At 39.7% G+C, this 18,701-nt stretch overlaps 1 pseudogene; it reads left to right on the top strand.

The window, feature by feature from the left end:
• On the top strand, positions 5,331-7,828 carry PNPLA10P (patatin like phospholipase domain containing 10 pseudogene; annotated as a pseudogene).
• Positions 7,829-18,701: the final 10,873 nt, after the last annotated feature.

Below are 18,701 nucleotides of genomic sequence, written 5' to 3' on the forward strand. Positions count from 1 at the left end.
AATCACATTTAGAAGAGCTCTGGGAACTAATCAGAAATTCACAGCAACAAAGTAAATATTTTTAAAAATATGTATCTCATTAAGAAATTTTGTAAGTGTTTTACCGACCCTAAACCCACCCCATACTTCTCAGGTTGACAGTGGCCTTAAAGAATATTGCCCACATCTGGTTATAAATTCCTAGTGATGGAGAAAGACAATAAATCATATACTCCAAGAATTATAGTTTTTAAATTTTTTTTTATTTATTTTTTACCTATTTGGTGACACCCTGAAGTATCAGCTCAAAGGGCTTCCTTTTTTTTTTTTTTTTTTCTTTTTGACAGAGTTTTGCTCTTGTTGCCCAGGCTAGAGTGCAATTAGCACGATTTCGGTTCACTGCAACGTCTGCCTCCCGGGTTCAAGCGATCTCCTGTCTCAGCCTCCAGAGTAGCTGGGATTACAGGCGTGTGCCACCATGGCCGGCTAATATTTTGTATTTTTTGTAGAGACAGGGTTTCACCATGTTATGCTGGTCTTGAACTCCTGATCTCAGGTGATCCAACCGCCTTGGCCTTCCAAAGTGCTGGGATTTCAGGCATGAGCCACCACACCCGGCCAGGGCTTCCCTTTATTTCACCTAGCTCAGTACTCTAGCAGGGCTGAAGTGGTTACCCTTGGGGAATATTGTGGAAAACATTTAAAAGTAGGTGCATTATTTGTTGCCACATAGGGCAATGGATAGTAGTGGGGTAAATGATAGACAAACTAAAATGACTGAGAATAAAAGCTGGTTACTGAGACATATTGGGAGTAAAGGCTTTAAAAAGCTGCCACATATTTCTGGGAATCTAAGATGTCATGTGCGTGCCCAGGACTGGCATGTATTCAGAAGTTACGTGAGAAGTCCCTAAACTTTCGCCTTGGCTGACCTTTGGGAGACTCACAGGCAAAAAAATGAAGGCAAAGTTAGCTTTGGGAGACTCACAGGCAAGAAATGAAGGAAAAGTAGAGTTTTAAACTGCCAGGCCAAGTGTTGAAGGCATAAACCAACACAAATGCAGAGTCAATCTGACACAACTGGGAGGTTTTTGTTATCGTTTTTTCAGATATTTAAGGAAATATCTGTTGAGTCACTAGCTCATTGCTAAGCTAATGTTAAACAGGTTTTTGTGGTCACGCACAACAAAGAATATGTACTTTACAAAATTAGTTCAGACAAGTCAATAAAGAAAAAACAATTGCAATAAGCAATAACAACAAACTTTGGAGCTAGAACAATCTAATTTCCAGAGTTGCCATATTATAATGTACCAAATGTCCAGTTTACCAGAAAAAAATATAAACCAGGCAAAAAATAGAAAATATTGCTCTTACACAGCAAAAAACAAAACAAAACAAAACAAAACATAAAAACTACTAAAATCTGTGCCTGCAAAAGCCCTGACACTGGATTTCTAAACAAAATTTTAAATCAACCATTTAGAATATGATCAATGAATAAACAGAAACTATATACAAAGAAATAAAGGAATGTATGAGAATCTCTAACCAAATTGAGAAGATTAGTAAGGAGACAGATATAACCAAAATGAACCAAATAAAAAATTCTGAGTTAAAAAGTGCAATAATTGAAATGAAATAATTACTAGAGTAGTTCAAGAGCAGGTTTTTTTTTTTTTTTTTTGAGATGGAGTCTCTCTCTGTTGCCCAGACTGGAAGGCAGTGGCGCGATCTTGGCTCACTGCAAGCTCCGTCTCCCGGGTTCACGCCATTCTCCTGCCTCAGTCTTCCCAGCAGCTGGGACTACAGGCGCCCACCACCACGCCCGGCTAATTTTTTTTGTATTTTTAGTAGAGACGGGGTTTCACCGTGTTAGCCAGGATGGTCTCGATCTCCTGACCTCGTGAACCGCCTGCCTCGGCCTCCCAAAGTGCTGGGATTACAGGCTTGAGCCACGTGCCCGGCCTCAACAGCAGTTTTAAGCACGCCAAATAAAGGATGAAGGATCTTGAAAACAATTAATTGAGATTATTTAGGCTGAGAAACAAAGATTTTTTAAAAAATTTAAAATACACAGGATACAACACATTTATGAATGTGTGCATGATGTAGTTCCAGAAGTAATACAGAGATAGAAAAGACATAAATATAATTTGAAGAAACAGCTCTCAAAATAGTCCCAAATTAAGTTATAGACATAATTCTAAATATCAAGAAACTCAATAAACCCTAAGTAGAATATTCTCAAAGAGATATACTTTGAGAAACATATAAAACTCTCAAAAAACAAAAACAAGAAGATAATTTTTAAAGCAGCAAGACAGAAGCAGCTTGCCACTTACAAGAGAATCTCAATAAAATTAATAGCTGATTTCTCATCAGAAACCATGGAGCTCAGAAGACAGTGGCAACATATGTCAAGTGTTCAAAGAAAAAAATCTGTCAATCAACAATTTTATATTTGTTAAAATTATCCTTCAAAAATTAAAGAGAATTTAAATCACTTTTACATGAACTAAATCTGAGAGAATGTTATGGACTGAATGTTTGTGTCCTCCCTAAATTAAATTATATGTAAATTCTCATTGTGCCTATATTTGAAGGTAGGTTAACTAAAGAGGTAATTAAAATTAAATGAGGTCATAAAAGCAGAGCCCTGATCTTATAGGATAAATGGGTTTGTGAGAAGAGACACCAGAGAGCAGTTTCTCTCTCTCTCTCTGTCTCTCCCTCTCTTTCCCCCATCTCCATAAATGCACAAAATAAACTTCATGTGATAGTAAAGTGGTCGTCTGCAAGCAAAGCAGAGAGCCCTTACCAGAAACAAATTCCTGTGCAAAAATTGATATTGTATTTTTCAGCCTCTGGTGTTGTGAAAAAAAAAAATGAATTTCTATTGTTGTACCTAGTCTATGTTAGTCTGTTACAGTAGCCTAAGCAGGCTAGTGTAATTTATCACTCATAAACCTTTCATACAGGAAAAAATAATGGGATTGCTTTATCTTGATGACCACAAAATATATAAATATGTAAGTTGTGACAAGAACAGTAGAGAAGCAGAGCTATATAGGAACATGGATTTTGTATACTATTAAAGCTAAGTTTGTAGTAATTAAAACTACATTGTTAGCAGTTTAAGATATACATAGCAATCCTCAAAGAAAGCCCCTGGAAAAATTATGCAAAAAATATGCAGAATAAAAGTTAAGAAAGAAATCTAACAGGTGCATGCATACACAAATGAATAAAACATAAAAAAATAGTAATGAAGAAAATAAACAAAAATGACATAAGATGTATAGATAAATAATAGCAAACTTGCATATCAATATTTTTTTATAATTTTTAAAAAAGTAAATGAATTAAACTCTTCAATTAGAAGGCACATATTTGCATAAAGGATAAAAAGAATTAATCAACTATCAGAGGTCAGTAAGAGACACACTTAAGAACCCAAACCATAAATCGATTACATGTAAAAGAATGGAAAAATATATTCCATACAAACTTAAGCCAATGAGAGCTGAAGTGGCTACACTAATAGCAAATATAAAAAACTTTAAAGCAAAAATTCTTACAAGACAATAAATGCATTACATAATGATAAAGAATTCCATTAATCACAAAGTATTTTAATTATAAATATATACACAACAACAGAGTCAAAATATATGAAGTATAATCATTAGATTGAGAGGAAAAGTACATTGTTCTAAAATAATAGCAGAATATTTCAAAATCTACATTTAATAATGGAAAAAATATAGAAAATGTAAACAAGGAAATAGAAGACTTGAAAAAAACTATAAACATATCAGACCTAAAAGATACACAGAGAACAACCTAGCCCATATTACAAAGTAGGTTTTATTCCCAAATGTGCAAAAAATTCTCATGGATAGACAATATTTTATATGTGATAAAACATGTCTCAATAGATTTTACATAACTGAAATCTTAAAAAGAACTTTACCTTACCCCAAAAAAAGAATGAAATTGAAAATCAGTAACTGAAGGAAATCTGGAAAGTTCACAAATTAAAGAAAAAACCTCTCTTAAAAGATTATTTTAAAAAATTACAAGAAAATTAGCAAAGTAATTTAGATAAATAAAAAAAGTATGAGATGAAGTAAAAACAGTACTTAAAGTAAAATATACAGCCATAAATGCTATTTTAAAAAAAGAGAAGAATCTCAAATCAATACCTTTACACCACCTTAAGTAACTAGAAAAAGAAGAGAAAACAAATTGAAAAACAGCCACAAGGAATAAAATAATAAAGACTATAATAGGATGAATGAAATAGAGAATATAAAAGCAATAGAGGGGATCAACAAACCCAAAAGTTGTTTTTTAAAAAGATTAATAATTAAGTTATTAAAATGTATGTAGACTGACCATGATTAAAAGAGAGAAGATTTATATTAATAACTTCAGAGGAGAGGAGCAGAGCAAGACCATAGAGGACTCTCCAGAAATTCTCACCTGCAGAAACATCAGTTTGAACAACTACCCGTTACTGAAAACTTTTCACAAGAGCTTTGAGACGGAGTCTCGCTCTGTCACCCAGGCTGTAGTGCAGTGGCGCGATCTCGCCTCACTCTGCAAGCTCCGCCTCCTGGGTTCACGCCATTCTCCTGCCTCAGCCTCCCCAGCAGCTGGGACTACAGGCACACGCCACCATGCCTGGCTAATTTTTTGTATTTTTAGTAGAGACGGGGTTTCACCGTGTTAGCTAGGATGGTCTCGATCTCCTGACCTTGTGATCCGCCCACCTCGGCCTCCCAAAGTGCTGGGATTGCAGGCGTGAGCCACCGCGCCCGGCCGGAACAGGATGACACTTTACAGTGTCCAGATGCAGTACAGAAAAATAAAAAGATGCACTGAGGGGGAGGATAAAAAGGGCAGTTTGACATTACTCACATCACCCCTCCCCCAACCTTAAGGAGCACAGTGTTGAGAGAGATACCTTCCACTTGGGGTAAGGAGAAAGAAGCCAGCACTAGACATTGCCTTAGCCTGTAACACTAGGTTAACCACAGTAAAACCTAGCACCAAGTAAGTCACCATAAACCCAGACTCCAGGCTGGTATCTACAGTACTGAGTCACGAATATTCTCCAGTGCCAGGCCATACCCCACAGCCCCAGAGTTCAGGCATGCACACCAGAATTGATCTCTGGTTTGCACCACCACCAGACAGACTTTAGCAACCTCAGGCTCCCTCAGCCCTCAGTGGCAGGGTGACCACAGAGGTCCTGGGTTCCAGAACTGACCCACTGCCAGGGAGGATTAAGTGGCCCTAGGCTTTAGGCCTACTCAAGCAAGCAACTGCATTTCCTGTTGTCGCCTAAGCATTACTACAGGATTAGCCACATTCGTCTACAAAGAGATTTTCATACAAACGAAGTAATATGTAAATAGACAAAAATGAAACACATACTGGCAGAAAGCACTGTTACTCTCCAGACAACCATTGTTTACATATTAGAATTTTGAAACCTAGCACTCCCACTCCCAAAGGACTTACTAAAATGAGCATTTGTATGTCCCATATTAAAAGTACTTCTAAACTATTTCAAAGGATGTTTTTGGCAATCAGAATGAAATTATTTCACGTTTAGCTCAAATCAAGAGAAATTCTCACCAATTGATACTTTTAAGGAAAGTATCAAATCATGACTGGTTAAAACAAACCAAAAAGAAAAGTGAAACAAGGCATAAAATCTCTGAAAAAAAATCTGACAAATAAATAAAAAAGTATCCTCTTCCAAAAGAGAAATGCCAGATTAGACGTAAAAAGAAGATATAAGTAGTCTTCTTTATTATATGACTATTATAGCCACAAAACTTAAAAAGCCATTCTACTTTTCATCAAATTATGTTAACTCTTATTTCAAATGTGGGGAAAATGTGTCTCAAAAAAACAGGGAAAAAAAAAAAAAAACAATTCCAGGACATATCAGAACTTGAAGGTAAGCAGGTTGAAGAAGGGAAATTAAGTTCTCCAGATCTTGGCATGCTGACTGATAAGTCAGGCTCAGAATCTTCTTTAGATACTGTGGAAAATCCTTCAAATCCTATTGCAATACTTGAAGTTCTTCTAGTTTCAACTAAAGTATTACTAACTTTCTTTTTCATCCCAGTGAAACTGTATAATCTTTTGTAGGTGGAATATTGGTGGACTTGTCCCCAAGTTAAATTATGATTTAAAGAGACACTTAGAAAAAGAGGAAAAGCCTACTAAAACTGAGCAGGCTATCAGCAAAGACAAAAATGCAGAGAAGAACAACCGTTTATCTCTTCAGGGAGAAATTATTATTGCAATTATATTGATAACAGAACCTGGGTGTTAGTTCAGGTATTAAGAAAAACAACTGACCTGAAGTTCTGTATTACTGGGGTTGAAGAACTGAATTTTCATCATCTAGAATATATTGAAGGAAATGAGTGTCTGTTAAAGAAAGAATTATTCCATATTTATTCTGGCTGAGATAAATTAAAGGTGAAACACTTTAGGCTGCACTTAGATAATTTTCGGCTTTAATTGCCTACGTGCATCCAGTGAAAGGGAGAGGAATCCCAATTTTCATAATTGAAGATGGAGGAACAAGTTATGTGGTTGCTCTGCAGATACTATGCAAATTAGTTGAACTAACTCAGAAACCAGTTGATCAGCCCTTTGATTACATTTGTGGTGTGAGCACAGGTGCCATATTAGCTTTCATGTCGGGATTTTTTCATATGTCCTTGGATGAATGCGAGAAACTATAAAACATTAGGTTCAGACGTATTTTCACAAAATTTCATTGTTGGAAAAGTTAAAATGAGTTGGAGCCATGCATTTTATAGAAGTCAAAGGTGGGAAAAAATTCTGAAAAATAGAATGGGATTTACGCTATTGATGGCAACAGCAAGAAACCCCACATGCCTTAAGGTAACTGCCATAAGTACCATAGTAAACAGAGGGATAACACCAAAATAATTTGATGTTTTAGAAACTATGGTGCTTTAGAAACTATAATTTGTTGTTTCTAAACATAGAAACTATGACCATTTTGCTGGAATCAACTGTCATTTCAGAGGTTCTCAGTATAAAATGTGGCAGGCCATTAGAGCCTCATCTGCTGCTCCAGGCTACTTTGCAGAATACACATTGGGAAATGATCTTCATCAAGGCGGAGGTTTGCTTCTGAATAACTATTTGGCATTAGCAATGCATGAGTATAAATGTCATTGGCCGGATATCCCATTAGAGTGCACAGTATGCCTGGGCACTGGACATTCGGAGAGTGACATGAAAAACACTGTGATACACACAAGCTTGAAAACCAAACTTTCTAATGTTATCAACAGTGCTACAGATATAGAAGCAGTCTGTATAATGCTTGATGTTCTGTTACCTCCTGACACCTATTTTATATTCAATCCTGAAATGTGTGAAAACAACCCTAGATGAAAGTCAAAATGAAAAGCTGGATCAGCTGAAGTTAGAAGGGTTGAAATACATAGAAAAAAATGAAAAAATTTAAAAAGTTGCAAAAATATTAAGTCTAGAAAATATAACTCTGAACAGAATTAATGATGAGATATAATTGAAAACAAACATGTATGAAGGCCTGCTATTCTTTTTAAAGTTGCAATGAGTATATGCTTATGTTCTGATAAATGAAGTCCTGCTCAGAAGATTCACCAAAGTCAATAGGAAATGTGGGGTTCAACATCAGTTACATTTGAAATAATTATGAATTCTAGAGAATCCTGAAGAAGACTGTGCTTCCACCAGTTTGCACAGCATAGATAATATGCTTGGTTGCATAATTCATATGAGAATTAGGTTTTTAAGATGTTAATAACTAAGTAAGTTTTAGGAGTCTCATTGTGATCATGGTATCACGGTATTAGTAGATGCTGGTGTTATTTTGTTTGATTTTGGGAAATGTATTAATATATGTGTCAAACAAGGAACTGAAAACTATTACACTTTGTATTTTTGCTTTTGTCATCATAATCATGTTGAATTTATGTAATCATTGATTTTATTTCATGTGGAATAGCTAATTGCTTCTTAAAATTATGTTATTTAATGTTTTCATTAGCTACACTCTACAATCCACATAACACCTTTTATTTTAAAATTACGTAAATATATGCAGAAAGTAGAATTTTTTATTAAAATACTTTTATGCTTGAAATATGAGAACCAAGTACAGTTTTCTATTCAAAATTTTCTTATTTTAATACTGTTTGGCTAACAAAGATAGATAAAGTTTCATTCAAACACTTTTCTCCTTAAAATTTCAAGATAACGTACATTAACTTTTCTATGTCTAACCCTAGCTTATCCTTCCCTGTTATAAAGTTGATTGCTTAAACTTACTGAGAAAATATTCCCATCATTAACAAAAATAAATTATTGAAATAAAAAAGGATAGAGGTTCAACATATTTAGTCATTATGGAAGTGCAAATCAAAGTCATATGCCACTTCACACCAACCACATTTGTCAAAATAAAAAAAAAAAAACAGGAAATAGGAATTGTTGATAAGAATGTGGAGGTATTGGAACCCCTGTACATTGCTGGTGAGAATGTAAAATGGTGGTGCTACCACAGAAAACACATTGGCTCTTTGTTAAAATGTAAACATAAAATTTCCTTACAAGTCAGTATGAGTACTTCTTAATTGTATACCTGAGATAACTGAAAACATATGTTTTTTAAAATAACTTTTGTCCAGATGTTCATAGCATCATTTTTTACTGTAGTTGAAAAATGGAAACAAACTAAATGTCCATCACCTACTAAATAAAATGTGGCATAGCCATACAATGGAATATTGTAAATCTGTGAAAATGAATGAACAAATTACATAAGGGATTAACCTCAAAAACATTATACTAAGTGAAAGAAGCCAGATACAAAAGGCCAATATTGTATGATTCTATTTTTGTGAAGTGCCCAGAATAGGCAATTTTATATGGAAAGAAAGCAGAGTAGTGGTTTCCAGGGGCTGAGTGAGGGAAAATGGGGAATAACCACTTAATGTGTACAAAGTTTCTTTTTAGGATGATGAAAATGTTCTAGAATCAGTGGTAATGGTAATAAAACATTGGGAATATACTAAAAGCCACTGAATTGTACCCTTTAAGATGGTTAAAATGGTTAATTTTATGTTATGTAAACATTATTTCTCTAATAAAGTAGATTTTCAGCAACAAAGGGCCCATTAGAATGGAAGCATACTCTGAAGGGTTATTAGTTATCAACTCCTAACATGCAAAATATTTTTAGGTAGCATTTTTATATAGAAGAAATTATATTAAGGCATATTAAGCATTGAGTGTCATTATTATTGATGTATAATGGATTCCCATCCAACATTATGGTGTGATTTTAAAAGAAGAGCCAGGAAATCAAAAGTATTTTCTCTGGGGCTTAATCTTTGATCAGATCATTGAAAAACTTATGGCTTCCAGATTTGTGGGGGACAGATACTTTTACTCATTATCCAATGCTCTAAGGCCACCCAGAGAGACTGGATTATCTACATTGACTATTCACATTTCCTTAGATATATTTATTTGAATGATGGCTTCTACAAAGTAGAGAAGTCTGTCATTATGAGAGATAAAGCCAGCTGGGCTTCTGGGTTGGGTGGGGTCTTGGAGAACTTTTCTGTCTAGCTAAAGGATTGTAAGTGCACCCATCAGCACTCTGTAAAAACACACCAATCAGCACTCTGTGTCTAGCTAAAGGATTGTAAACACATCAATCAGCACTCTTTAAAAACGCACCAATCAGTGCTCTGTGTCTAGCTAACGGATTGTAAACACACCAATTAGCACTCTGTAAAAACGCACCAATCAGCACTCTGTGTCTAGCTAAAGGATTGTAAACACACCAGTCAGCACTCTGTAAAATGGACCAATCAGCATTCTGTAAAATGGACCAATCAGCACTCTGTAAAATGGACTAATCAGCACTTGTAAAATTAACCAATCAGCAGGACATGGGTGGGGCCAAATAAGGGAATAAAAGCTGGCCACCCGAGCCAGCAGTGGTAACTCATTTGTGTCCCCTTCCATGCTGTGGAAGCTTTGTCCTTTCGCTCTTCACAATAAATCTTGCTGCTGCTCACTCTTTGGGTCCTCACCACCTTTAAGAGCTGTAACACTCACTGTGAAGGTCTGCAGCTTCACTCCTGAAGTCAGTGAGACCACAAACCCACCGGGAGGAAAAAACAACTGTGGACGCGCCACCTTTAAGAGCTGTAACACACACTGCGAATGTCTGCAGCTTTACTCCTGAAGTCAGCAAGACCACGAACCCACTGGAAGGAAGAAGCTCCAGACACATCTGAACATCTGAAGGAACAAACTCCGGACACACCATCTTTAAGAACTGTAACACTCACTGCTAGAGTCTGCGGCTTCATTCTTGAAGTCAGCGAGACCAAGAACTCACCGGAAGGAACCAATTCCGGACATATTTTGACATCCCAGATGGGACTATCACCTATTGCCAAGCGGTGAGTTCCATCGGACCCCTTTTGCTTGCTATTCTGTCCTATTTTTCTTTAGAATTCGGGTGCTAAATACCGGGCACCTGTCGGCCAGTTAAAAGCAACTAGTGTGGCCACCGGACTAAAGACATGGGTGTCAGGCTTTCTGGGGAAGGGCTCTCTAACAACCCCCAACTCTTCAGAGTTGGGAGTGTTGGTTTGCCTGGAACCAGCTTACGCTTTTCCTGTACTTCTGGGCTGAGCTGAGGGTCAACAGAGAGGAAAGCCATTCAGCTCCAGGATCCGAACAAGTTGGTTGACCCTGTGGCCATGAGCGGAGCTCTCAAAGCCATGTCACCAAAGTGAGACTCACCCATCTATCCTATCTATCGTGACCCTTGCCTCCTGGGTCCTAATGCCTTTCAGACAAACTTCCTCTCACCTCTTCTCCAAGGCTAGTCCCACTTCTAAAAACCACTCCCTGTCTCTGGTGCTTTTCTAGTTTCTCCTATAAGAATGATTTCTAGTATAAACCTCAGGACTCTGTTCCCTTCTTTTGGCACCTGGGCTCACCAATCAGAAAGACATAATTTTTGCCCAAAGCCCCACTGGGGCGGGGGGACTATCTGGAATTTTAGGATCCCTCCTCAGACTAGCAGGCTTAACAAAAGCTATTCCTGAAGCTAGGATATGGGAAGCCTCAGAAATGATATCCTTCCTATTCAAGTGAGGACAAAAGGCATCACTCTTCCAACTCTGGAGATCCCTCCCCTCCCTTAGGGTATGGCCCTCCACTTCATTTTTGGGGCATAACATCTTTATAGGACATGGGTAAAGTCCCAATACTAACAGGAGAATGCTTAGGATTCTAACAGGTTTTTGAGAATGCATCAGTAAGGGCCACTAAATCCGATTTTTCTCAGTCCTCTTTGTGGTCTACAATGACAGGCAAGGTTGCAGGTTTTCGAGAATGCGTCAGTAAGGGCCACTAAATCCGACCTTCCTCAGTCCTCCTTGTGGTCTAGGAGGGAAACTAGTGCTTCTGCTGCTGCGTTGGTGAGTGCAACTATTCCAATCTGCAGGGTCCAGGGACCATTGCGGGTTCTTGGGCAAGAGGTGTTTCTGCTGCTGCTTCGGTGAGCGCATCTATTCTGATCAGCAGGGTCCAGGGACCATTGTGGGTTCTTGGGCGGGGGGAAGCAAACAAACCAAAACCGTGGGTGGTTTTGTCTTTCAAATGGGAAACACTGAGGCACCAACAGGCTCACCCTTGAAATGCATCTTAAGCCATTGGGACCAATTTGACCTGCAAACCCTGAAAAAGAAGCAGTTCATTTTTTTCTGCACTATGGCTTGGCCCCAATATTCTCTCTCTGATGGGGAAAAATGGCCACCTGAGAGAAGTATAAATTACAATACTATCCTGCAGCTTGACTTTTTCTGTAAGAGGGAAGGCAAATACCTTATGTCCAAGCTTTCTTTTCATTGAAGGAGAATACACAACTATGCAAAGCTCGCAATTTACATCCCACAGGAGGACCTCTCAGCTTACCTCCATATCCTAGCCTTCCTACAGCTCCCCTTCCTATTAATGATAAGCCTCCTCTAATCTCCCCTGCCCAGAAGGAAACAAGCAAAGAAATCTCCAAAGGACCACAAAAACCCCTGGGCTATCGGTTATGTCCCCTTCAAGCAGTAGGGGGAGGGGAATTTGGCCTAACCCGGGTACATGTCCCCTTCTCCCTCTATGATTTAAAGCAGATCAAGGCAGACTTGGGGAAGTTTTCAGATGATCCTGATAGGTACATAGATGTCCTACAGGGTCTAGGGCAAACTTTCTATCTCACTTGGAGAGATGTCATGCTATTGTTAGATCAAACCCTGGCCTTTAATGAAAAGAACGCAGCTTTAGCTGCAGCCCGAGAGTTTGGAGATATCTGGTATCATAGTTAAGTAAAGGATAGAATGACAGCCAAAGAAAGGGACAAATTCCCTACCGGTCAGCAAGCCATCCCCAGTATGGATCCCCACTGGGACCTCGACTCAGATCATGGGGACTGGAGTCGTAAGCATATGTTGACCTGTGTTATAGAAGGACTAAGGAGAATTAGGAAAAAGTCCATGAATTATTCAATGATGTCCAACATATCTCAGGGAAAGGAAGAAAATCCTTCTGCCTTCTTCGAGTGGCTATGGGAGGCCTTAAGGAAATATACTCCCCTGTCACCTGACTCCCTCAAGGGTCAATTGATCCTAAAAGATAAGTTTATTATCCAATCAGCCACGGATATCAGGAGAAAGCTCCAAAAGTGAGCCCTGGGCCCTGAACAAAATATGGAGGCATTATTAAACCTGGCACCCTCGGTGTTCTATAATAGGGACCAAGGGGAACAGTCCAAAAAGGAAAAGCAAGATCAGAGAAAGACCGTAGCCTTAGTCATGGCCCTCAGACAAATAAACCTTGGTGGTTCAGAGAGGACAGAAAATGGAGCAGGTCAATCAGCCGGTAGGGCTTGTTATCAGTGTGGTTTGCAAGGACACTTTAAAAAAGATTGTCTAACGGGAAATAAGCTGCCCACTTGCCCATGTCCACTATGCTGAGACAATCACTGGAAGGTGCACTGCCCCGGAGGATAAAGATTCTCTAGTCCAGAAGCCCCCAACCAGATGATCCAACAACAGGACTGAGGGTGCCCGGAACAAGTGCCAGCTCATGTCATCACCCTTACTGAGCCCCGGGTATGTTTAACCAATGACGGCCAGGAAATTGACTTCCTTCTGGACACCAGCACGGCTTTCTCAGTGTTAATCTCCTGTCCCAGACAGCTGTCCTCAAGGTCCGTTACCATCCAAGGAATCCTGGGACAGCCTGTAACCAAGTATTTCTCCCACCTCCTCAGCTGTAATTGGAGACTTTGCTCTTTTCACATGCCTTTCTTGTTATGCCTAGAAGTCCCACACCCTTATTAGGGAGGGATATATTAGCCAAAGCTGGAGCTATTATCTACATGAATATGGGGAACAAGTTACCCATTTGTTGTCCTCTACTTGAGGAGGGAATCAACCCTGAAGTCTGGGCATTGGAAGGACAATTTGGAAGGGCAAAAAATGCCCACCCAGTCCAAATCAGGCTAAAAGACCCCACCCACTTTTCCTTATCAAAGGCAATAACCCTTAAGACCTGAAGCTCATAAAGGATTACAGGATATTGTTAAACATTTAAAAGCTCAAGGCTTAGAAAGGAAATGCAGCAGTCCCTGCAACACCCCAATTCTAGGAGTACAAAAACTGAATGGTCAATAGCGACTAGTGCAAGATCTTAGACTCACCAATGAGGCAGTAAATCCTCTATATCCAGTTGTACCCAACCCCTATATCATGCCCTCTCAAATACCAGAGGAAGCAGAATGGTTCACTGTTCTGGACTTCAAGGATGCCTTCTTCTGTATTACCCTGCACTCTGACTCCCAGTTTCTCTTTGCCTTTGAGGATCCCACAGACCACATGTCCCAACTTACTTGGATGGTCTTGCCCCAAGGGTTTAGGGATAGCCCTCAACTGTTTGGTCAGGCACTGGCCCAAGATCTAGGCCACTTCTCAAGTCCAGGCACTCTTGTCCTTCAATATGTGGATGATTTACTTTTGGCTACCAGTTTGGAAGCCTCATGCCAGCAGGCTACTCTAGATCTCTTGAACTTTCTAGCTAATCAAGGGTACAAGGTGTCTAGGTCGAAGGCCCAGCTTTGCCTACAGCAGGTCAAATATCTAGGCCTAATCTTAGCCAGAGGTACCAGGGCCCTCAGCAAAGAATGTATACAGCCTATACTGGCTTATCCTCTCCCTAAGGCATTAAAACAGTTGTGGGGGTTCCTTGGAATCACTGACTTTTGACGACTATGGATCTCCAGATGCAGTGAGATGGCCAGACCACTCTATACTCTAATCAAGGAGACCCAGAGGGCAAATACTCATCTAGTAGAAAGGGAACCAGGGGCAGAAACAGCCTTCAAAACCTTAAAGCATGCCCTAGTACAAGCTCCAGCTTTAAGCCTTCCCACAGGACAAAATTTGTCTTTATACATCACAGAGAGAGCAGGAATAGCTCTTGGGGTACTTACTCAGACTCGTGGGACAACCCCACAACCAGTGGCATACCTAAGTAAGGAAATTGATGTAGTAGCAAAAGACTGGCCTCACTGTTTAAGGGTAGTTGTGGCAGTGGCTGTTTTAGTGTCAGAGGCTATCAAAATAATACAAGGAAAGTATCTCACTGTCTGGACTACTCATGATGTAAATGGCATACTAGATGCCAAAGGAAGTTTATGGCTATCAGACAACTGCCTACTTAGATACCAAGCACTACTCCTTGAGGGACCAGTGCTTCAAATATGTATGTGTGTGACCCTCAACCCTGCCACTTTTCTCCCAGAGGATGGGGAACTAATCGAGCATGACTGCCAACAAATTATAGTCCAGACTTATGCCGTGTAAGATGATGTCTTAGAAGTCCCCTTAGCTAATCCTGACCTTAACCTATATACCGATGGAAGTTCATTTGTGGAGAATGGGATACAAAGGGCAGGTTATGCTATAGTTAGTGATGTAACTGTACTTGAAAGTAAGCCTCTTCCCCCAGGGACCAGTGCCCAGTTAGCAGAACTACTGGCACTTACCCTAGCCTTAGAACTGGGAAATGGAAAAAGAATAAATGTGTATACAGATAGCAAGTATGCTTATCTAATCCTGCATGATCATGCTGCAATATGGAAAGAAAGGGCGTTCTTAACCTCTGGGGGAACCCCCATTAAATACCACAAGGAAATTATGGAGTTATTGCACACAGTGCAAAAACCCAAGGAAGTGGCAGTCTTACACTGCCAAAGCCATCAACAAGGTGAATGAGAAAAAGCAGAAGGAAACCGTCAGGCAGATGCTGAGGTCAAAATTTCTGCCAGGCGGAACCTCCCATTAGAAGTACCTATGGAAGGACCCTTGGTATGGAACAACTCCCTCCAAGAGATTAAGCCCCAGTATTCCCCAACTGAAACAGAATGGGGACTTTCACAGGGGCATAGTTTTCTCCCCTTGGGGTGGTTAACGACAGAAGAAGGAAAGGTACTTATACCCGAAGCCAGCCAGTGGAAAATACTTAAAACTCTCCACCAAACCTTCCATATGGGTATGGAAAACACTCATCAAATGGCCAAATCCCTATTTACAGGGCCAAATCTCTTCCGGACCATCTGACAGGTAGTCAAAGCCTGTCAGGTGTGCCAAAGGAATAATCCCTTAGTCCATCATAAGGCCCCTTTGGGGGAACAAAGAATAGGTCACTATCCCAGAGAGGACTGGCAGTTAGACTTCACCCATATGCCTAAGTCAAAAGGATTTCAATACTTGTTGGTCTGTGTTGATACCTTCACAAATTGGATGCAAGCTTTCCCCTGCAAGACATAGAAGGTTCAGGAAGTGATTAAAGTCCTAATTCATAAAATAATTCCTAGATTTGGGCTTCCCCAAAGCTTACAGAGTGACAATGGTCCGGCTCTTAAAGCCACAATAACTCAGGGAATTTCCAGGGTGCTAGGGATACAATTATCACCTTCACTGTTCCTGGAGGCCACAATCCTCAGGGAAGGTTGAGAAGGCAAATGAAACACTCAAGAGGCACTTAAGGAAACTAACACAAGAAACTCATCTCCCACGGCCTACTCTTTTGCCTGTGGCCTTGTTGAGAATCCGAAATTCTCCTCACAAAATGGGGCTCATTTTGATGCTGTATGGACGACCTTTTTTCACAAATGACCTCCTACTTGATCAGGAAACGACCAACTTATTCAAAGATATAACTTCTTTGGCAAAATATCAACAAAACCTTAAAAACCTACCTGAAGGATGTCACAGAGAAAAGGAAACAGAGTTGTTTCAACCAGGAGATCTAGCGTAGGTCAAATCTCTCCCTTCTACCTCCCTATCTATGGACTCTTTGTGGGAAGGACCATACTCGATAATCCTCTCTACCCAGACTGCAGTTAAGGTGGCAGGAGTGGAATCTTAGATTCACCACACCCAAGTTAAATTTTGGACACCCGCTGAGGAACCTGCAGGACCGCCAGCTCAGGAGTCACAAGATCAGCCAGACCAGCCTCGATACACCTGCAAACTGTTGGAGGACTTGCATCTCCTACTTTGAAAGGAAACATCCCAGACTAAAAAGGCTCCTACTGCTGATCCTGAGGAAAAACCCTTTCCTCCTTAAAAAAGATAAGTGAAAACCTACACAATCTTTATATTTAACACCTCTCCTTGCCCCTTTAATGGAATCCTTTTACTATTTCATCATATTATTAAGCAGCATACTAACCATACTCTTTGTGATAGGGCTATATACTGTAGCTCCTGCTGGGATGAAAATCCTAATCACATCAACCTTCTTTCTATCTTCCTTCCTTCTGACAGCAATTTACTCCTACCTTTAACTTAATCCACTCTCTGTTAAGCCAGTCCAATCATTCCCTGGCAAATGACTGTTGGCTTTGTATCTATCAACTCTGCTTATGTTGCCACTCTCATTACTACAAAAAACTGGGTCTTTACCAACTTAACCTACCACCCTCATTATGAAGGAAAAGACCGTTTCCAACTTCTAAATATGCAATAATTAGCCAACTTCCCCATCTCTAATAGGACCAAGAATACCCTAACAGGACATGCAATCCAACTTTTACATTCTTACATTTCCAACCTCACCTATTACATAAGCAATGAAAAGCCCATACACGGCCCTGTAACTATGAATACTATCTTAACTTTCCAAGCCCCTTTATGCATCCAACGCAAACTGTTATCAGGCCTGCCCCTGGGGCACCTGCTACCCCATCAGTGTAATTACACCCTACAACTTCAAGCCCCAACTGATCATAGTAACTTCCAAGTCACCCAAACAGCTCCATTCAGACTGCTTGTCTGCTTCTCAGGGTCCCCCAAAATCATCACCTCCTTCCTACTTAACAAACATTCCAGGTTTTGTAATGGCAAACATACTCCCTGCATGACCATTCACCCCTGGACTCCCTGCAGTAGCGACCCCATCACTGATGAATGCCTTCTCATCCCCTCTTTCAATCACTCTCTCGAATGGTTCCTAGTAGATACAAAACGGTTTTTTCTCCAATGAGAAAATAGAACACAGGGAGCCACTCTGTTTGCTCCCAACACCCCTTTCCAGCCACTCACCAGAGCCAGCAGACACATGAAAAAATGCTCATCATCACTGGCTATCAGAGAAATGCAAATCAAAACCACAATGAGATACCAACTCACACCAGTTAGAATGGCGATTATTAAAAAGTCAGGAAACAACAGGTGCTGGAGAGGATGTGGAGAAATAGGAACACTTTTACATTGTTGGTGGGAATGTAAACTAGTTCAACCATTGTGGAAGTCAGTGTGGCGATTCCTCAGGGATCTAGAACTAGAAACCCAGCAATCCCATTAGTGGGTATATACCCAAAGGATTATAAATCATGCTGCTATAAAGACACATGCACACGTATGTTTATTGCAGCACTATTCACAATAGCAAAGACTTGGAACCAAGCGAAATGTCCAACAATGACAGACTGGATTAAGAAAATGTGGCACATATACACCATGGTATACTATGCAGCCATAAAAAATGATGAGTTCATGTCCTTTGTAGGGACATGGATGAAGCTGGAAATCATCATTCTCAGCAAACTATCACAAGGACAAAAAACCAAACACTGCATGTTCTCACTCATAGGTGGGAATTGAACAATGAGAACACATGGACACAGGAAGGAGAACATCACACTCTGGGGCCTGTTGTGGGGTGGGGGGAGGGGGAAGGGATAGCATTAGGAGATATACCTAATGTTAAATGACGAGTTAATGGGTGCAGCACACCAACATGGCACATGTATACATATGTAACTAACCTGCACGTTGTGCACACGTACCCTAAAACTTAAAGTATAATAAAAAAAAAAAAAGAAGTTATTCATTCCGGCAATCTGTTGCACAGCATGGTGAACTCTGCTCTTAGCTATTTTATAAATTGGTGTTCTGCAAAATCTTTTATTTGAAAACAAGATTTGACTGCTAAAAAAGGAGCAATTGGATATCATTGCCCATAAAAATTTAGTTTGCAAGCTGCTCTACCAAAGAATTTTAAAATTCCTTTCATCTTTGATT

Source organism: Homo sapiens, chromosome X, assembly GCF_000001405.40.
Source record: "Homo sapiens chromosome X, GRCh38.p14 Primary Assembly".
Taxonomy (NCBI): domain Eukaryota; kingdom Metazoa; phylum Chordata; class Mammalia; order Primates; family Hominidae; genus Homo; species Homo sapiens.